At 39.6% G+C, this 20,512-nt stretch overlaps 1 protein-coding gene and 1 pseudogene across 15 annotated transcripts in view; one reads left to right on the top strand and one right to left on the bottom strand.

Annotated features, from left to right (window-relative positions):
- LRP6 (LDL receptor related protein 6) overlaps positions 1 to 20,512 on the top strand; it is a 151,020-nt gene that overhangs the window by 6,160 nt on the left and 124,348 nt on the right. For 13 of the 15 annotated variants that reach the window (NR_182264.1, XR_002957325.2, NM_002336.3 and 10 more), the window contains exon 2: positions 16,230 to 16,623. The exons of 1 other annotated variant lie outside the window; for it this stretch is intronic. Coding sequence is in view for 10 of the 14 variants with exons in the window: in NM_002336.3 (NP_002327.2) it covers positions 16,230 to 16,623 (394 nt within the window). In the remaining 4 variants the exon portion in view is untranslated. The remainder of the gene's footprint in view (positions 1 to 16,229; positions 16,624 to 20,512) is intronic. One more of the 15 variants, NM_001414254.1, reaches the window with a different exon arrangement.
- Positions 11,455 to 13,532, bottom strand: LOC101929053 (ubiquitin-conjugating enzyme E2 variant 1-like; annotated as a pseudogene).

Here is a 20,512-nt window from a genome sequence, read left to right as displayed (position 1 = left end):
GATTATTTTCATCGTAGAAATTCTATTGAAAGTTTACATTTAGAGAAGATTATATGGAAGGTACTATAGCAGAAAGACATGGCTTGTTGTTAAACAGGCCAAGTTAAACTCTTCTGCCGCTTTGTGTTCCTTTGGACAAGTTATTTCCTTTCCTGTTAGGTGGGGATATAACTTGCAAGACTTCTGTGAGAACTGACGAAATGTTTGTAAAGGGGTAGTAGAACGCACAGTCAATAGTAGACATTGAATAAATGGTTGCTATTATTAAGATGGCCGAATTAAAAGAAACATTATACTCTGGAAAGACTGGTAAAACATTTTAAGTGTCGCTATGTCCTGGGCACTGTTTTTGGCAGTTGATAGTTTTAGGCCAGTGGTTTTGGAATTTTTTTTGATTCTTCTGCAACTGGAATAAAAGCTCCATAAAATACTTTTACTTATGGAAATTTCTGTTTTGTTTGATATAAAACGGAATGACACTAAATTTTTTTTCTTTTTTTTTTTTTTGAGACGGAGTCTTGCTCAGTCGCCCAGGCTGGAGTGCAGTGGCGTAATCTCGGCTCACTGCAAGCTCCGCCCCCCGGGTTCACGCCATTCTCCTGCCTCAGCCTCCCGAGTAGCTGGGACTGCAGGCCCCGCCAACACGCCCGGCTAATTTTTTTTGTATTTTAGTGGAGACGGGGTTTCACCATGTTAGCCAGGTTGGTCTCCATCTCCTGACCTGGTGATCCAGCCGCCTCGGCCTCCCAAAGTGCTGGGATTACAGGCGTGAACCACCGCGCCTGGCCTAAATTTATTTCTAAAGGATTGCAGCCATAACTATTTTAGGTGATGATTATTATAAATAAGCTACAGAACAGACAGTTCAAATGATTGTGATACTTATTAAAGAGTTAAGCATGGGCAAAATAATTTTATCAAGACATCTAATTGAGAAATTGCATTATTTGTTTACAACAATTATTCAGTTGGTGGATTTCTTTCTGCAGGATGGCTGAATGCTATACTGAGTTTCTGCATTGCATGTTTTCACTTCGGATAAGGGTGTTTATCTTCTATAAAGTAAGCCTCACTTCAGTGAATAAAACACTGTTTTATATGAGTAACTTTGAAATTTAGTCAAATATACAGACTAGGCAATCTAAGAACAGGCTGTTTGCTCTTAAAATTATTTATTTTAAAATACAATTTGTCAGTACATAAATGCAAGGAAACAAGGTTATTTGGTATTATTAACATATGCTTTTGTTTCTCAAGCTGTTCGTGTTTGCGGCAGTGAGTATTCTCACTAAAGGTTCAAGCTGTTCGGGTGTGAGGCTAGAAACTTTTAAAATGTGCTTGGACTCTTCGGTGAAAATTATTGATACTTTGATGCTGTGATCCTTTTAGCGGTATCATAACTTGTAGTTTCTGTAATATCTTGCTTGGAAGGACCTTGTATAAGTGCTTAAATATTTTGGAACTAATTTCAGGAGGAGATTGGGGATGCAAAATGAAATTATATTTTTAGGCAGAAAACTACATTAAGTTATGTAAGTTATTAACACCAGGCCTAAAGTTATTGATGAGACTCTCAATAAAAATAACATGACCAGCAGTAGTCTTTTTTTTTTTTTTTTTTTGAGATGGAGTCTCGCTCTGTCACCCAGGCTGGAGTGCCGTGCCATGATCTTGGCTCACTGTGACATCTGCCTCCTGGGTTCAAGTGATTCTCCTGTCTCAGCCTCCCAAGTAGCTGGGATTAGTAGGCGCCCACTATCATGCCTACCTAATTTTTGTGTTTTTAGTAGAGATGGGGTTTCACCATGTTGGCCAGGCTGGTCTCGAACTCCTGACCTCAGGTGGTCCACCCGCTTTGGCCTTCCAAAGTGCTGGGCTTACAGGCGTGAGCCTGCTGCACACAGCTGTCATTTTTTTTTTCCCAAGAAAATAGTCACCCAAATATTGGAAACCTACCTTTATCAAATTATGTATGTTTAACCAGGAGGCTATTTTCTCTAATGGTCTTAGTCATTGTTTTATCACTACAAGACCCAAACTACAAGTAAAGGACTGCAAGGGATAGGAGTCTTCCTCACTAATGATTAGCTTTATTGGTACGTATAATTTAAGTACTGTATATCCATATATCCAGTTTAAAGATACTATGTTTTGCAAGTCTGAGAAAGGTGACGAGTGAACTTCATTACCATGAATTCTTAGCTACACATTATATTGTCTTTATTTGTAACCTTCTAGATTTATGCTAATGCAGAAATAGCTCTTTGATGAAAAGTTTTTGAAGAGTAGACCTTTTTCCCCTTTATATGCACCATGTACCAGAGGTTTGCACATATTGAGCACTGTAAATTTTACATTTAAAGTAATATAAAAAGATGTGAATTTTTATGACATTTATTTGGAATGCCATTTTGTGTTTTGACTCAATCGTTCATTAGCTATAGTTAAATTATAAATTTGTAACGATTACAAAGATTTCTTAGTCTGGGTCATGGTGGCTCACACCTGTAATCCCATCTCTTTAGGAGGCCAAGGCGAGAGGATCACTTGAGGTCAGGAGTTCAAGACCAGCCTGGGAAACATCTATAAAAAATTAAAAAATTATCTGGTCACGATGGCACATGCCTGTAGTTTCAGCTGCTTAGAAGGCTGAGGCAGGAGGATCACTTGAGCCCAGGAACTCAAGGCTACAGTGAGCCATGATCATGCCACTGCACTCCATATCACAGACAAAACCCTGTCTTTCAAAATAAATAAATAAAGATTTCTTAGCATAGATTAGATATGTTAAATAGACTACTAAAAAATCAGCATATTCATATCTGAGATTGAATTCAAGGTGTGGACTATGTAACGTGTTTTCTGGTTTTAGGATATAACTATTGCACTGATATAATTAGTTTTTTTTTTTTTTTTGAGACAGGGTCTCACTGTGTTTCCTAGGCTGGAGTGTGGTGTGATGCTATCATGGCTCACTGCAGCCTGGACCTCCTGGTCTCAGGCGATCCTCCTGCCTCAGCTTCCAGAGTAGCTGGGACTATAGGCACGTGCTACCACGCCCGGCTCATTTTTAATTTTTTTTTTTTTTTTTTTTTTTTTTTTTTTGTAGAGACAGGGTCTTACTATGTTGCTCAGACTGGTCTCGAATTCCTGGGCTCAAGTGATCCTCCTGCCTTGGTTTCCCAAAGTGCTTGCGATTACAGGCATGAGCCACCATGCCTGGCCTCAAGTACTTTTTTCTTTCTTTCTTTTTTTTTTTTCATTAAGCCCTTTCTATCAAGTACTTTTTTTTTTTTTTTTCCTTGAGAGGGAGTCTTGCTCTGTCGCCCAGGCTGGAGTGCAGTGGCGTGATCTCGGCTCACTGCAAGCTCCGCCTCCCAGATTCATGCCATTCTCCCGCCTCAGCTTCCCAAGTAGCTGGGACTACAGGCGCCCACCACCACGCCCAGCTAATTTTTTTTGTATTTTTTTAGTAGAGACGGGGTTTTACCGTGTTAGCCAGGATGGTCTGATCTCCTGACCTCGTGATCCACCCGCCTCGGCCTCCCAAAGTGCTGGGATTACAGGCGTGAGCCACCGCACCCGGCCTGTCAAGTACTTTTTTAAACCAAGTTTTTTGGAGCTATAATTCACATACAGTAAAAATCTCCATTTTACAATGTCTAGTTCGGTGGCTTTTAGTATACTCACAGGGTTGTAAAACATCACCACTATCTCATTCCAGAACGCTTATCATCCCCTGCTCCCTCAAAACCCATACATTTCCCATTTCTCCCTTCCCTCAGCCTCTGGTAACCATGAATTTACTTTCTGTCTCTATGGATTTGCTTACTCTGAATATTTCATATAAATGGAATAAAATATGTGGCCTTTTGTGTCTAGCTTCTATCACTTAGCATTTTCAGGGTTCATTCATGTTGCATGTGTCAGTACTTCATTCCTTTTAATGGCTGAGTAATCCATTGTATGGATATATTAAATACTTTCAAATGAGTGTGGGTTTGATTATTGGAGTCTTTACCTTGAGAAATTATTTCTGAATCTCAGCTTTTGATACGTTAAAAAAATCTGTTTTTTTTGAAACAGAGTCTTGCTTCATCACCCAAGGAGGAGTGCAGTGGCACAATCTCTGCTCACTGCAACCTCTGCCTCCTGGGTTCAAGTGATTCTCATGCCTCAGCCTCCTGAGTAGCTGGGACTACAGGCGTGTGCCACCATGCTGGCTAATTTTTGTATTTTTAGTAGAGAGGGGGTTTGGCTATGTTGGTCAGGCTGGTCTTGACCTCCTGACCTCAAGTGATCTGCCTGCCTTGGCTCCCAAAGTGCTGGGATTACAGGCATGAGCCACCACTCTGGCCTATGTTTGTTTGTTTGTTTTGAGCTGGTGTCTCTGTCACCCAGGCTGGAGTGCAGTGGCGCGATCATTGCTCACTGCAGCCTGGACCTTCCCAGGCTCCGGTGATCCTTCCAACTAAGTTTTTGTATTTTTTATAGAGATGGGGTTTCACCATGTTGCTCAGGCTGGCCTTGAACTCCTGGGCTCGGTGATACACCCGCCTCTGCCTCCCAGAGTGCTGGGATTACAGGCATGAGCCACCGCGCCTGGCCTAAAAAATATTTTAAGTTCCTGTTTTTCTGCTGGAGAAGCACTAAATAGTTTACCAGTATCTCGTGTTTCTGAATAGCCCTGTCAATCGTCCTGTTGCAGTTAAATCTTTTTACTAAATTCATATCTAGAGTAAGAAAATAGAAGAGGTATTAGAAATTACCTGGGCCAACTCCTTCGTTTTATAAATCAGAAAGATGAATGACTAAAGCCAGATTGTTTGTACTCTGGACAGTAATTTTACGTGCAGGACTTTCTGTATGTACCTTATTTTACCTGGGCCTTCTTGTGGTTTTGAAAGAGATGCTGATGACTTTGATAGAGGGAAATACATATTAATGTAAAATTTGGCATTTGCAAATAGGTAGTTTGTCATAGTACTTATACTGTAAATAAAAACAAAGCTGAGGCCAAGGTGCAGTGGCTCACACCTGTAATCCCAGCACTTTGGAAGGCCGTGGCAGAGGATCGCTTGAGCTTAGGAGTTTGAGACCAGCCTGGACAACACAGTGAAACCTCATCTCTACAAAAAAAATCCAAAAAAATTAGCCAGGCATGGTGGTGCCTATAATCCCAGCTGCTTGAGAGGCTGAGGAGGGAGAATCGCTTGAACCTGGGAGGTGGAGGTTGCAGTGAGATGAGATCGCACCACTGCACTCCAGCCTGGATGGCAGAGTGAGACTCTGTCTCAAAAAAAAAAAAAAAAAAAAAAGTGACCAAACCCAAAAGCAAAAACAAAGCTAGACTTAGGTAAGGAGAGACTTTATTTGAAAGGATTTTTGCAGTAGAAGGACATGCTTACTACAGGATCTGCAACACACTTCAAAATCAAACCGAAAAAGGCTTTTTTTTTTTTTATAGAAAGGAGAAGTAAGCAGGGCTATCAGGAACTTTGTGGGAATGTGGGCCAAATAGGTAGGGGTGAGCAGATTGCATGACCAGGACTATTTAACTGGAAAGCATTTTTTTTTTTTTCTGCAGTCAGCTAATGGTCAGAATGAGGGAAGAAGTTGTGCATCTACTTTCTTAAGCTTAGGGCAAGCCAAAGTTTAGGAATTTGTGGGGAGAAGAGAATCCTGACTAAAGTTTATTCAAGCCAAGTCAATGAGTAAGTAATGGGCAATTGTGATGTGCACTGGTCAGTCTCCCTGTTGTTTAAAACAAAATCAGTCACTGTTGACAATGGAATAAGAGTCATTGAGAAGTTGATCTCATTAGATTGGGCCTGATTATTTACATAGGTGTAGCAATAATAGTAATTTATCATATAATAGGTCTTTTAATATTGCCTTGCTGAAAGTTTTTTTAAGGAATCTGATTGGACTTTAAAATGCCTCTTGAGACTATAAAGGTAAGTCAAGAACTGACCATCAGGTTTCACTTGTAATACCTATAAATTTGGGTGAATTCCTGTCTTGAAGTTCCCAAAATATTCTAGGATTTTTGAGCCTGCCGGGAAGTGATCTTGCTTAATTCACCTGCAAGGCTGGGAACTCTGTAAGCCAGTTACCAGGCCAGTTTTCCTAAGAGGACTGTAAGCGTTGGTTCATAAAGTCAACTGTAACTTAGAAGTATTTGGTCATACCTGATTAAATGAATATTTTCAAATGTGGCATTCCAGTCAAAGCCTTGGTTGCATAAGTAATGTTTCCAGCTAGAAGGCAGACTCATTGAACCTCTGCAGATAACTATATTGCCATGAAAATAAAAATAATAAGAGTTTTTGAATTCTGGAGGAGTAAGACGGGGGAGAAAAAGATAAGTGTTTATTTCGGTTTACAAAAACATAGTCTCCTTAAATTGTTGTGAGTTATAGATAGCTTCAGAGAAAAGAGAAAGGGGTTCCTTATATCCAGAAAATAGGACGCTAAGGCATCAGCAATATTTTAAACGAAACCCATAATCATCCTTCATCAGTTTATTCAGTCCTATGTAATTAATTCTTGTTCTGCTGGATCTGTGTTAGCAGTCTCACGAACCCATCTGTTTTTCTACTAGCTGTTTGGAAATCTTGACTCAGTCCACTGGTGTGGTCTCAGAGTTATTTAAGTGATGCCATCAGACGCTTGTGTTCAGGTTACCTGGCGTAGTAGTTTTCCTTTTTCTTTCTTTCTTTTTTTTTTTTTTTTTTTTTTGAGACAGAGTCTCACTCTGTCACCCAGGCTGGAGTGCAATGGCACAATCTTGGCTCACTGCAGCCTTGACCTCCTGGGCTCAAGTGATCCTCCCATCTCAGCCTCCCTAGTAGCTGCGACCACAGGTGTGTGCGACCATACCCAGCTAATTTTGTATTTTTTGGTAGAGAAGGGGTTTCGCCAAGTTGCCCAGGCTGGTCTCGAACTCTTGGGCTCCAGTGATATGCCCACCTCAGCTTCCCAAAGTGTGGGGATTAGAGGCGTGAGCCACCACACCTGGCCCATAGCCCTTTTTTATTGAAGACAAGTGCACTCTGGCCTGTAGCTGATTTGCAAGTGCTTTCAGGGAAGCATTAGAGTAAAACAGAAAACTATCTGTAGATGACAAAATACTTAAAACGGTGATGATTAACCTATTACTGATAATCTTAAAAGTGAAAGATCTCCTATTGCAAGGACGAAAAACCAAACACCGCATGTCTCACTCATAGGTGGAAATTAAACAGTGAGAACACTTGGACACAGGAAGGGGAACATCACACACCAGGTCCTGTTGTGGGGTGGGGGGAGGGGGGAGGGGTAGCATTAGGAGATACACCTAATGTAAATGACCAGTTAATGGGTGCAGCACACCAACATGGCACATGTATACATATGTAACAAACCTGCACGTTGTGCACATGTACCCTAGAACTTAAAGTATAATAATAAAAAAAAAGAAAAAAAGTGAAAGATCTTATGAAACTTTGTTAGAAAAGATAATGAAATTGGCAAGGAAGTTTGATTTTTGTGGCATGCGAACTAAAATCAACCCAAAAAAGTGTTAGACAAAAGCATATCTATAAGCGTAATGATTAACTTTATTTTATTATTATTTTTTGAGACAGAGTCTCGCTGTGTTGCCCAGGCTGGAGTTCAGTGGCGCGATCTTGGCCCACCACAACCTCTGCCTTCTGGGTTCCAGTGATTCTCCTGCCTCAGCCTCCTGGGTAGCTGGGATTACAGGCACGCGCCACCACGCCCTGCTAATTTTTATATTTTTGGTAGAGACAGGGTTTCGCCATGTTGGCCAGGCTGGTCTCAAACTCCTCACCTCAGGTGATCAACCTGCATCAGCCCCCCAAAGTGCTGGGATTAAGGTGTGAGCAACTGCGCCCAGCCGATTAACCTTATTTTAAAGAAGAGTGGCTAGTACATGTCATTTATGAATATAGATGAATATATTCATTGCAGAGAGAAAATCTAAAGACATATAATCCTAAGATGTAATGGACCATGAATATGTCAAGAGTATATCAAGAATGTATATATGTATAGAGTATATCAAGAATGTATCAAGATTATCAAGGAAAAAGATTTAGCAGTCTGGAGTAGGTCGTTAACTTCTATATAATAGCATTCCATAAGTAAATGATGTGAATTCTTAACTGAGAACCATTAGCCAACCTAGAAGATTAAAGAAGCCAAATTATGACCAAGTTAACATTGAGGAAAAAAAATCCCTGAAATTATGACTGATGACATTATACTGTTGTCTAATACCAGGCAAAGCAGCACCAGAACTCTGATTAATAGACATGGACAATGAGGGCATTGATGAATTTCTAGGAGCTTTATACCTTCATAGAACTTCCAAAATATCCCTATTAATAACATTTTACCTATACAAATTTAACTTAAACTTAGGGAGGGTAAGCCTCTCTGGCTTTGACAGTGCTTTCCATATGACCCATAACGTTTGATCAAATAAACTATTATTTTTAACATCTCTCTTTTACAAGGTAAAGGGAATTTTGATTTTCTAGGGCCCCTTAGGGGAAATCTCAAAGACAGTTGTTGGTACAAAAGGCATCATTTAGGAGGTTTGAACATTTGATTAAATAGGATCATGGGCCACTGTGGAAAAAAATACTTGGCTACATATTTAACCAAAAGTGACCGGAAAAAAAAAAAGATTTTAGTTCAGTGCGGTGGCCCATGCCTGTAATCTCAGTGCTTTGGGAGGCCAAGATGGGAGGATCACTTGAGGTCAGGAGTTTGAGACCAGCCTGGGCAACGTGGTGGGATCCTGTCTCTACAGAAATTAGCTGGGCGAAAGATTTCATGCCTATAGTTCTAGCTCCTCAGGAGGCTGAGGCAGGAGGATCGTTTGAGCCCAGGAGTTTGAAGCTGCAGTGAGCTATGATTGTGCCGTTGCAATGAGCCATGATTGTGCCACTATACTCCAGCCTGGACAACAGGGTGAGACCCTGTCTCTTAAAAAAAATATTGAAAAAAGTAAGCATGGGAGGTAATGCAGTGGTGAAGAACCTTACCCTTTTAAGGGTGTGAATACAGTTTTAAGTAATTAAGGACATGATAAAGTCAGCATTAAGCACAGGAAATTCTGGTAAGACACAATCTTTGCCTTCTGTGGAGATTATTCAGAAGGCAAAGGAAAACCTTTAATAACTTCTTTATTAAAAGCAGACTAATGGGCGGGGCACCGTGGCTCATGCCTGTAATTCCAACACTTTGGGAGGTCGAGGTGGGTGGATCACAAGGTCAGGAGATCGAGACCATCCTGGCTAACATGGTGAAACCCTGTCTCTACTAAAAAAAATGCAAAAAAAATTAGCCGTGCGTGGTGGCGGGCACCTGTAGTCCCAGCTACTCGGGAGGCTGAGGCAGGAGAATGGCATGAACCCGGGAGGTGGTGCTTGCAGTGAGCTGAGATCCCACCACTGCTCTCCAGCCTGGGTGACAGAGTGAGACTCCATCTCAAAAAACAAAAATCAAAAAGACAAACTAATAACTGAAGAAAATCCGTCATTTTAACAGAGAAAACTAAAATCTAGTTTTACGTAACTATAATATTTGATAAGCACTTAAAAACATCTTACAAATAAACCCGTCAAATCTTAGCCGGCTTTGGCTGGGCACGGTGGCTCACGCCTGTAATCCCAGCACTTCGGAGGCCGAGGTGGGCGAATCACTTGAGGTCAGCAGTTTAAGACCAGCCTGGCTAACATGGCAAAACCACGTCTCTACTAAAAATACAAAAAAATTAGCTGGGTGTGGTGGCGAGCGCCTGTAATCCCACCTACGAGGGAGGCTGAGGCAGGAGAATCACTTGAACCTGGGAGGTGAAGGTTACATTAAGCCCAGATTGTACCACTGCACTCCAGCCTGGGTGACAGAGCGAAACCCCATCTCGAAAAACGAAGAAGAAGAAAAAAATCAAGCCAGGTGCGTTGGCTCACGTCTGTTACCCCAGCACATTGGGAGGCTGAGGTGGGTGGATCATTTGAAGTTAGGAGTTCGAGACCAGCCTGGCCAACATGGTGAAACCTGCCTCTACTAAAAATACAAAAATTAGCCGGGTGTGGTGTTGGGCGCCTGTAGTCCCAGCTACTTGGGAAGCTGAGGCAGGAGAATCTCTTGAACCAGGGAGTCGGAGGTTGCAGTGAGCCGAGATTGTGCCACTGCACTCCAGCCTGGGTGACACAGTGAGACTTTGTCTCAAAACAAAACCCCCAAAATATTAGTAAATATGTATATGATATTTCTGTGTGCAGTGAACTGTAGTAGGCATTGATGATAAAATTAGTTATAAGGTATGGTTCTTGTTTCCAAGGGCTGAGATCCTAGAGGTAGGAAGTATGCTTAAAAAAAAAAAAAGCTAATATCATGTAAGTACTAAAGACTAAGGATTAAAAGAAGTAAAGCTGAGTCAATTAGAAAGGGTTACAGAGTAGGTAAGGTTTGACTCTGGCCTTGAAGGACTTGCTTGCTGGGAGAAAAAGAGAAGTATGGAGTAGGCAGGAAAATGAATACTCTGCAATGATGGGTGTGATGTACTCCCAGTTTACATGTTTTGAAACCTGTTTGTATGATGCAGAGACTATAAAAGATTAATTTAGAGTCCTAGGTAGAAGTCATGGTGGAAGGCTGAGGTATTGAGGCATTTTGTAAATTTAGGCAAGGGGAATCAGAATGGCTTTTGAGTTGGCTAAACTGAAAGTATTAGAAGTAGAAAAGGAAAGGGGAGAATATTGAGATAACTTACTATTAGGATATTTTAGGCCTAAAGTCATGAAGGTCTAGAGTAGGATAGTGGTTTTAAAAATGGAGAAGAGGAGACAGATTTAAAGACATGCTTGTAAAATAAGAGTCAACAAGACAGTAATTGTCAGACTAGGGGAAAAGGGGAGGGGCTCAAAGATGGCTCCAAGGCATGCCAGTAAGGTTAGAATTGTGTACCATTGACTGGTGAGGGATTTTGTTGTTTTGGGGGAAAGGTGATGAATTTAATTTAACGGGAGGTAGAGATGGCCAACAAAAAGTTAGAGGGACAGAACTAGAGATGATGTTTTGGGAATTAGCTGCATAGAATTGCTTGTTGACCAGGTGAACTTTAATTAATTTATTTCCTTCCTTCCTTCCTTCCTTCCTTCCTTCCTTCCTTCCTTCCTTCCTTCCTTCCTTCCTTCTGTTATAGCACAACTTATATATTTCAAATGGACAAAAAATTAGTTTTACAGCATCTTAAGATAAATTTCCTTTGAATGGGAGCTTCCTTTCCAGTACTTTGAGGTCTACAAGACATATCTAGAAAATTTGCTGCTGTGGAAAATGAAGACTGCTTAAATTGAATGAGGGGGAAGAGGAAGGGCCTGTGGTTTTTCTTTTCGATTAATTGCTGTAACACTGTGTTGTGGTTTTTCTTTTCGATTAGTTGCTGTAACACTGTCCTTGAGGTGGCTGAGGGAGTTTCATATTTTCTTTAGACACCATTAGGCGCCAAAGCTCTTGCAGGACAACTTTGGTGCTGTGAATTCTGCCATTTTGCTAGCACTGATATGGCTCTTGGGTCCACCAATCCATTAGAACTATTAACTCCATTCATATTAATTTTTTGTTACAAATCTTACAAAGGGGGGTGCTTCTGGGTATTTAGGTCCACATTTTATTTTAAGGCTGTATATTCAGTTTTCATAAATTGTTCTTGCAGGCCCAATTATCATCCCTGTACGTCTTGTAAGTGTCACGTCTTTATCATTGTCTAGACCTCAGCTAACTGCCATCTCCTACTCCTTTCTGGCCTTCTTTGAGTTCTTCCAAAAGTGGGAAATTGCAAGGGACTTTTACCCCCGAGCCTGTGGTGGCTGCCACCTTGTGTTGCTGTTGCTTGTGAACTTTAATTTTTTATACTCTGTCATTTGGAACAACAGAGAGTCTTAGGATACCTATATATAGGAAGTGGAAGGTTTGAAACAAGACAAGAAAAAATAGGTAGTATTGTATGAGGAGAACATTCTATATAGGTAGGGATATAGTCAACAGCATTGACTGCTCTAGAGGTGTTAAGAATAAAGACTGAGAGGCTGGGCGCAGTGGCTCAAGCCTGTAATCCCAGCACTTTGGGAGGCCGAGGCGGGCGGATCACGAGGTCAGGAGATCGAGACCATCCTGGCTAACACGGTGAAACCCCATCTCTACTAAAAATACAAAAATTAGCTGGGCGTAGTGGCGGGCGCCTGTAGTCCCAGCTACTCGGGAGGCTGAGGCAGGAGAATGGCGTGAACCCGGGAGGCGGACCTTGCAGTGAGCCGAGATTGCACCACTGCACTCCAGCCTGGGCGACAGAGCCAGACTCCATCTCAAAAAAAAAAAAAAAAAAAAAAAAAAAAGAGTAAAGACTGAGAAAAGACCACTGGATTTGGTTATAAAGATTTAGAGGAAGCACTTGCAGTTGAGTGATGGATAGGAAGTTAGATAAAAGAGTAATAGCTAATGAATGGTAGTGTGAAGTATATATACCAATGTTATAAGATTTTGCAGTTAGTAGAAATATAATTATTATTCTGATGGTAGCAAGGTTAGGGTTATTAAAACAAAACAATAGCAAGGAACCTGGCGTAAACCATTGAAAATACGAGAAATACAGAACAATTGATAGAGCGAAGTTGTAGAGAGGAGGTAAGGAGGCTGAACCGAAAGTATTGCTTTAGCCTTAGGAGGAAGGCCATCTTCTCATTTGAGACTGAGGACAAGGTAAGGGAAGATGGGTGGAGAGAAAATTTTGAGAGGTATAAATTAAGATGTTGGGGATGTATGACATTTACCTTGTATCCTGCTTCACTGAGATTGTTTTATGAGATGATCTGAGGATAAAGGATTCAGGGCATGGAAATTAGTCTTTAAAAGTAGAAAAGGCTTAGAAAGGCTGGTAGAGAAAGTTTCCCAGGAGTTTAATAAAGGAAAACAAGGATTCCTGAGCACTGTGAGTGTTCCACTGAAGAGAAGTGATGGTGATTATTTGGGTTATCTGAATACTAGGCAGTCAGAAAGTAAGCTCTCTGGAATGGAAGATACTGGCATGTTCCAGGGAGCAAGTATGTGGTTCCAGTGTATCTGTTTGGTAGATAAAAACAATGTTACAAATCAAATTATACCTATCAGATATCCCATTTAATATGTTGCTGAACAGATACTGGTGACAATGTAATAGAAAGTATTCAAGCATCAGAAGGGTGGTTGGACAGGATGAACCCTGGGATTTCCTTTCAATAGTGTGGTTTATGTGCAGCAGATTTATGTACAGTCCTTTACAAATCCTCAATTGTAACCAGTATTGCTAACTTAAAAAAGATTAACTTTGCCTCCTTCACCCGTTTTCAGGAGGGAGAAGAGACTCAGAATGCTTGTGAGGCCTTAACTGACCAGAAAGCGTTTTTGGATTTTGTAGACCAAAAATATTCAGTACACGTAGAAGTGTTAAAGTTTGACTTGAAAGCAATGAAAGACATTTGGCTGCCACCTAATGTCCTATAGCTTTGATATAGTTTTCCAAGATAGTGCCATAAAGAAGGTGCCCAGTAAATATTAGATGATTATCACTCTTGAATTTTCAATTTTAAGTGTTTCGTGGGTATTCCTTAGCCTTATGCAGCACTTAGCATTGTATCCTTCACTAGTAGGGACCTTTTTTCTGATGTTTATATTTGGCCCATAGTATGAGAGACTCAGTATAGTGGGCTCTGTGGGGACTGATAAATCAGTGTGATGTGTGAAGGCCAGAAATGAATTAAAAGTGACTCTGTTAGGGAAGTTTATGAATTTGCTGATAGCTGCAGCAGATACACAGAATAAGCAGAAAGATTGGTTAGCCACTTTTTAAAAAAGCTGTCTGCCAGTTTGTTTTTGACTAAGAAAGTTGGATTTAAGCTTAGTTAGGGAAGTTTATGTTGTACTTATAGATGAAAATAGTATACATTTATAACTATTTGACAGACACAATCTATAGTGTAAACATCACTTTTTTCTTACACTTTTTTGAGATTGGAGTAATTTCTTGAAAAGGGGAATCGTTACTTCTAAATGGTAGTTGGGCTTGGCTTCAGATGACACAGTTGTAGACCCTTAGTAAGTAATTATGAAAGAAGATCATGTAGATAATTGTATCATAACTCACTCTTTTTTTTTTTTTTGAGACAGGGTCTCCCTCTGTCACCCAGGCTCACTGCAGCCTTAAATTCCTGGGCTCAAGTGACCCTCCCATTTTAGTCTCCTGAGTACCTAGGACTACAGGCGTGCACCACTATGCCTGGCTACTTTTTTAAATTAATTTTTTTGTAGAGATGGGGTTTCCATGTGTTGCCAAGGCTGGTCTTGAACTCCCGGGCTTAACCAAAGTGCTGGGATTACAGGCGTGAGCCACCGTGCCTGGCTTGGTCTTACTTTTGCTGCCTCATTTATGTTCTGCATTCCAGCCTCTAGATGTGTGCTATCCAATACTACCACTAGCCACACTTGTCTATATAAATTGGAATGAATTAAGATTATATAAAATTGGGGCCGGGCGCAGTGGCTCACGCCTGTAATCCCAAGCACTTTGGGAGGCCCTGGCGGGTGGATCACCGGAGGCCAGGAGTTCAAGACCAGCCTGGTCAACATGGCGAAACCCCACCTCTAGTAAAAATACAAAAAATTAGCCGGACCCATAGTGGTGGGCACCTGTAATCCCAACTACTCAGGAGGCTGAGGCAGGAGAATTGCTTGAACCTGGGAGGCGGAGGCTGCAGTGAGCTGAGATCGTGCCATTGCACTCCAGCCTGGGCAACAAGAGCAAAACTCTGTCTCAAAAAAAAAAAAAAAAAAAAAAAGTTTATATAAAATTAAAAATTTAATTTTGTAGTCACACTAGCCACATTTTAAGCGCTCCATAGCTGCGTGTGACTGGTGGTACTGTGTTATGCAGTGGAGAGGACATTTCCATCATCACAGAAAGTTCTGTAGGACAGTAGTGCTCTAGATTTTTAATTGTTGCTTGATACTAGGAAAGTAAATGTCAGAAGCTTGGAATAGATATTTAATAAAAACCAAAAAACATGGAATTTATACTACCTCACTCCCAACAGCTTCAACTTTCTCAAAGTTAAATGTTATTTCTGTAAGATTGGCTTTATATTTAGTTTCGGGTCTTTTCAAAGGTCATTTTAATAGTAATATAGAACAGAATAAAGTAGCTTTACTAAGAACTATTTCTGTCAAACTGTAACAGTTTTATTAAGGTATAATTGATAGACAATAAATTTTGCTTATGTTAAGTGTAAAATTTAATAAGTTTTGACATGTTTACACCTCCGAAACCATCATTATTGATAATATAGCTCATCACCTGCAAAAGTTTGCTCATGCCCATTTTTAATCCTCCCCCTCATTCTTTTGCACCTTCTTTCCCTATTTTGAGACAGCCATTGATCTGCTTTGTGTTTTTACAAAAGTTTGCCTTTTGTAAAAGTTTATATAGATGAGAGTCATGCAATATATACCTTTGTTTTGGCCTGGCTTCTTTCATTCTGAATTATTTTGAGATCCACCCATTTTTCATGTACAAAGGGTTCATTATTTTCTGTTGTATGGCAGTATCACAGTTTTTTATCCATTAGCCTGTTGATGACATTTGGGTTGATTCCAGTTTGGGTTATTACAAATAAATTGGTATGAGCATTTGCATACAAGTCTTTGTATTGACATATGTTTTTGTTTCTCTTGAGTAAATACCTAGATGTGGAATAAACAGTATCTAGCTATTGCCTTGGATTGTATAGTAGGTTGTATGTTTAACCTTTTAGGAAACTGCCAAACTGTTTTCCCAAGTGGCTGTACCATTTTACATTCACCCCAGTAGAGTATGAGTGTTCCAGTAGCTCCATATTATTGCCAATTCTTGGTATAGCCAGGCTTTAAAATTTTATCTGAGTTATTTTAACAAGAAAAGACTATCGTGGTGGAAATAGTTCCCCCCATTTCCTATGTCTTATTTTTTAAATGCTGCAAAAATAATATTTTGTGTGTGAAGTTTAGATGGTCTCCTAATGATTTATTTATTCTTTTCTTATTTTCGACAGTCTTTGCTCACTTAAACCGATTTGAAACGCAGTTTATAAGAACCAATACGTTTTCTTCCTTTTCACTTACATATTTTTCTTTTTTTGTTCTAGCGGCCCCTTTGTTGCTTTATGCAAACAGACGGGACTTGCGATTGGTTGATGCTACAAATGGCAAAGAGAATGCTACGATTGTAGTTGGAGGCTTGGAGGATGCAGCTGCGGTGGACTTTGTGTTTAGTCATGGCTTGATATACTGGAGTGATGTCAGCGAAGAAGCCATTAAACGAACAGAATTTAACAAAACTGAGAGTGTGCAGAATGTTGTTGTTTCTGGATTATTGTCCCCCGATGGGCTGGCATGTGATTGGCTTGGAGAAAAATTGTACTGGACAGATTCTGAAACTAATCGGATTGAAGTTTCTAATTTAGATGGATCTTTACGAAAAGTTTTATTTTGGCAAGAGTTGGATCAACCCAGAGCTATTGCCTTAGATCCTTCAAGTGGGTAAGTTTTTGTACAGTGTACGAAGATCATCATACCTCCTTTCGGTTTTTCTCCACTGACATACACCACCCTGACCCCTATGAGAAAAGAAAGATCGAAAACAGGAATTTTAGATTCTTTGGGCTTCTTTGTTGAGTAGACTTGAATGTGGAAAGTTACGTTGTGTTATTATTATTTTTGACAGGGTTTTTGCTTTGTCACTCAGGCTGTAGTGCAGTGGTGCAATCAAAGCTCACTGCACTGTCAGCCTCCCAGGCTGAAGTGATCCTCCCATTTCAGCCTCCCAAGTAGCTGGGACTTTAGGTGTGCGCTACCACACCTGGCTAGCTAAAAAAAATTTTTTGTTAGCTGGGCGTAGTGGCGCACATCTGTAATCCTAGCTAGACGGGTGGCTGAGGCACGAAAATCACTTGAACCCAGGAGGCAGAGGTTGCAGTGAGCTGAGATCGCACCACTGCACTCCAGCCTGAGCAACAGAGTGAGACTTTGTCTCAAAAAAATTTTTTTTTGTAGAGACAGAATTTCACCGTGTTGCCCAGGCTGGTCTTGAACCCCTGGGCTTAAGTGATCAATCGCTCTGCCTTGGCCTCCCCAAGTGCTGGGATTACAGGTGTGAGCCACTGTGCCCAGTGTGTTGTGTTCTTAGTGTTTCTGTAAATCGTTTTGGGTTTCTAATAGCCATGTTTATATTTCTTGGGTTTTCTTCTGTATTTATTTTTTGTGATATCAGAAGATAATTTAAAGAGAGAGAAGAAGGAATGAAATGAGAAGTATTTGATAGCCCAAGATGAGATAGACTAATCTAGATCTTATACCTTTTATTATATACACAATGATACTGTGATACTAGTGTTTTTTTGTTACACTCTGAAGCGTTATTTAATGTCAGTATTGAATGAAAAATAAAAATTATTAAATAACTCATTTCTAGTTAGCTAAACATATATTTGCAATAAAGGTTTATTTTCTAATGAGAAGGAAAACTTAAAGCTCTGAGTAAATCTCATTTCAGAGTGTGAACTGTATCCTCACATTGCTTCTCTGTTACTATGTCTCATTTCTACTATTAGTATACACCATTTTGTGATATTTCTTTATTGAATAAATTGTCATGGCTAGTCTGTCATGGCTAAGTATAGATAACTATCTGAACATGAACCTAAAATGACTAATATTTGGTTAAAATCCAAAGATAAATAACCTGTACTATTTTAATACTTTGTTTTCTTTAGCTTTCAGTTGTATTAGAATGCTTTAAAACTCATTTCACTTATAGAAAGGAGTGAATTCTTTTTATGTAATAAATGAGAACTTGGGGAGAATGGAAGAAAGGTTTATATGTGCTTCTTTATCTTGATATCAGGCCTGGTTACAGAGGTTGAACAGGATGCCATGTTGTAGAAAAATGAGAAGACTGATTTGACTGTAAAGGATTATGTGGGCAGTAGTATAGGGAAATTTTAGAGGGAGATGTCTGGAAATACAAATATGTATTTTTTAGAGTGAAATTAAAACGTGTTTGTTGAAGCAAGATGGTGCTCTTAAAGCACCAGGAAATATTGTAGTGGCTCTGATCGTAGGAAAAACGATTGGATGTCCTGAGGAGGAGGTCTCAGATGTAACTGTAGTTATCAAAGAATTTGGTTGTTGAGAACTTTATAGATATTTTTGAGAAACGGAGTTTGTGTTTTGCTAACAGAGTTTGTAAGGCTCAGAGGGTGTTGAAATGTTTCTGAGGTTACTGCTTTGTAGAACACATAGGATTTTGGTGCTTGTAGTCGTCATTAGGGAAGAATACCGTGGTGAAAAGATAAAGTTCTTTTTTCCCCTCTTCTTGACAAGTTCAATTTTACCACTGTAAGGGTGATGATTGAAATTTAATGAAATATCTGTTAAATGGTTATTATGTTCAGAGTTCTGCATTTTGTACTCTGGTTGGAGAGAGGGGGTTTGGTTTATCTTTACTGTTTAAGGACAGAAAACTTGGGAGAGACAACTTTTTCTTCTTCAAAGCATGTTTATTTGCATTATGTAACATGAATGTGAAGAGAGGAAGAGTGTTAAAATAATTAGAAGGGGCACAAGAGCTGTTATGAGCTTCATTACCAAATTTTGGAATGGGATCTTGATCATTTCTATAAGAGATTAATGATTACCTGATAGTACATTATTAAAGGGAACTGAATGTATATAGTTCCTCTTGACTCTTCAGGATCTAACAGTTCAGTGAGTAAATTAATCATTTTCATTTTGTTCCCCAAAACTAATGAGCTTTACTTCTGGGTAGCAGGTCTGATAAGTATCTTCTGAAGTAATTTCGCCATTTGATTAAAAAATACTTTAGAGTTTCTGTGGCTTTAATTTATCCTTGTTATTTCTCATTATTGAATGTGAGAATTCACCAAAGACTTAGCTGATAAAAAAGATTATTGGAAGAATCAGTAGCAATTTACTTTGAAGGTAGAAGGTAGTGTTATTTAGCTTCTGAAGGTGGTTCAGTGAAGAATAACTCTTTCTGTGGACTAAAGGCTTGGTCAAACACCCAGTGAAATATTTTGTATTATTTTTGATGTGTGTGGTTAATGTGGGAGGCAGAGGAGGGGAGAGTAGGGGAGAGAGAGCGGGTAAATTCAACCCCCCTCCCCAGCTTTAACAGTCCTCTCAAAATTTCTTTTAATTTTGAGAAGTCATTTTGTGTCATGGTTATTTTAAAAACGACTCAACTGGAAACAAATAGAATCTGGTCAAATGGTATATATACATTTGATATATGTACAAATGATGGAGCGTATTTAAAATTATATTTTAAACTCCTACACTGAAAAATATATTCATCAGATGATCTTTCAGTGTTAATGATCTTAGATTTGTATCGTGGATTGTGGTTTTAGTTGAAAAGTAATTATAGGTAGAGTACATCATTTGTCAAACAGAAGAGATGATTTCCAGATTTATTTTTTGGGGGAAATACGAAGTTTGAGTTCCAGACAAAGTACATGAAAACAGTGCTGAGGAAAAATGTAGACTTTTCAGAGTTCCAGGATCCTGGATTATGAGGTTCACAAGAGCTGATTGAGCTCTCTCATAGCAACTTACGTAAAGGGAAAGCTATTGAATGACTGGTATTGTTTGAGCCCTGGGAACTAGTGCAGACATCTGTGTGCTTTCGGATGTATGGAGTTCTTTGTGTAATCAGTCCATTTAGCCTAGACTGAAGGAAGATTTTTATTCCTCTCTCTAAATTTGGCCTCTATTATATTAGTCTGAGATTTTTTTTTCCTTATGATAATGACTAGCAGTATACAGTTCAGACTAAGCAACGGGAAGATGTGTGTATGAAATTGTTAGAGAAATGAACAACCAGAGTTACAGTAAACAGTTGTCTTATGTTACAGTGAGTAGAGGTGATTCCTATGTGGCTGCTCCTAATGCTGGAGCCCCTCAGTCTGATTCCACAGTTACCATGCTAAGCAACCGTACTAATCTTGGTGATGTTGAGGACCTGTGTCAAGTTTAAGGGTGTTTTGTTTGTTTGTTTAGGATCCTTTCATATTCCAAATCATTTTAGATTTTTTTTATAAAGTTAAACTTTAATGATTCAATTTGAAGTGAATTTATATTAAACAGCTTTGAATGATATTTATATTTTAAAAGTATGTATTTTTATTTATTATTTATTTATTTATTTTTGAGATGGAGTCTCACTCTGTTGCCCAGGCTGGAGTGCAGTGGCGCGATCTTGGCTCACTGCAAGCTCCGCCTCCTGGGTTCACACCATTTTCCTGCCTCAGCCTCCCGAGTAGCTGGGACTACGGGCACCTGCCACTTTGCCTAGCTAATTTTTTGTATTTTTAGTAGAGACGGGTTTTGCCATGTTAGCCAGGATGGT

This window comes from Homo sapiens, chromosome 12 (assembly GCF_000001405.40).
Source record: "Homo sapiens chromosome 12, GRCh38.p14 Primary Assembly".
NCBI classification, from domain to species: domain Eukaryota; kingdom Metazoa; phylum Chordata; class Mammalia; order Primates; family Hominidae; genus Homo; species Homo sapiens.
Note: the sequence above shows the minus strand (reverse complement) of the source record. Positions and strands in the feature narration are given on the sequence as shown.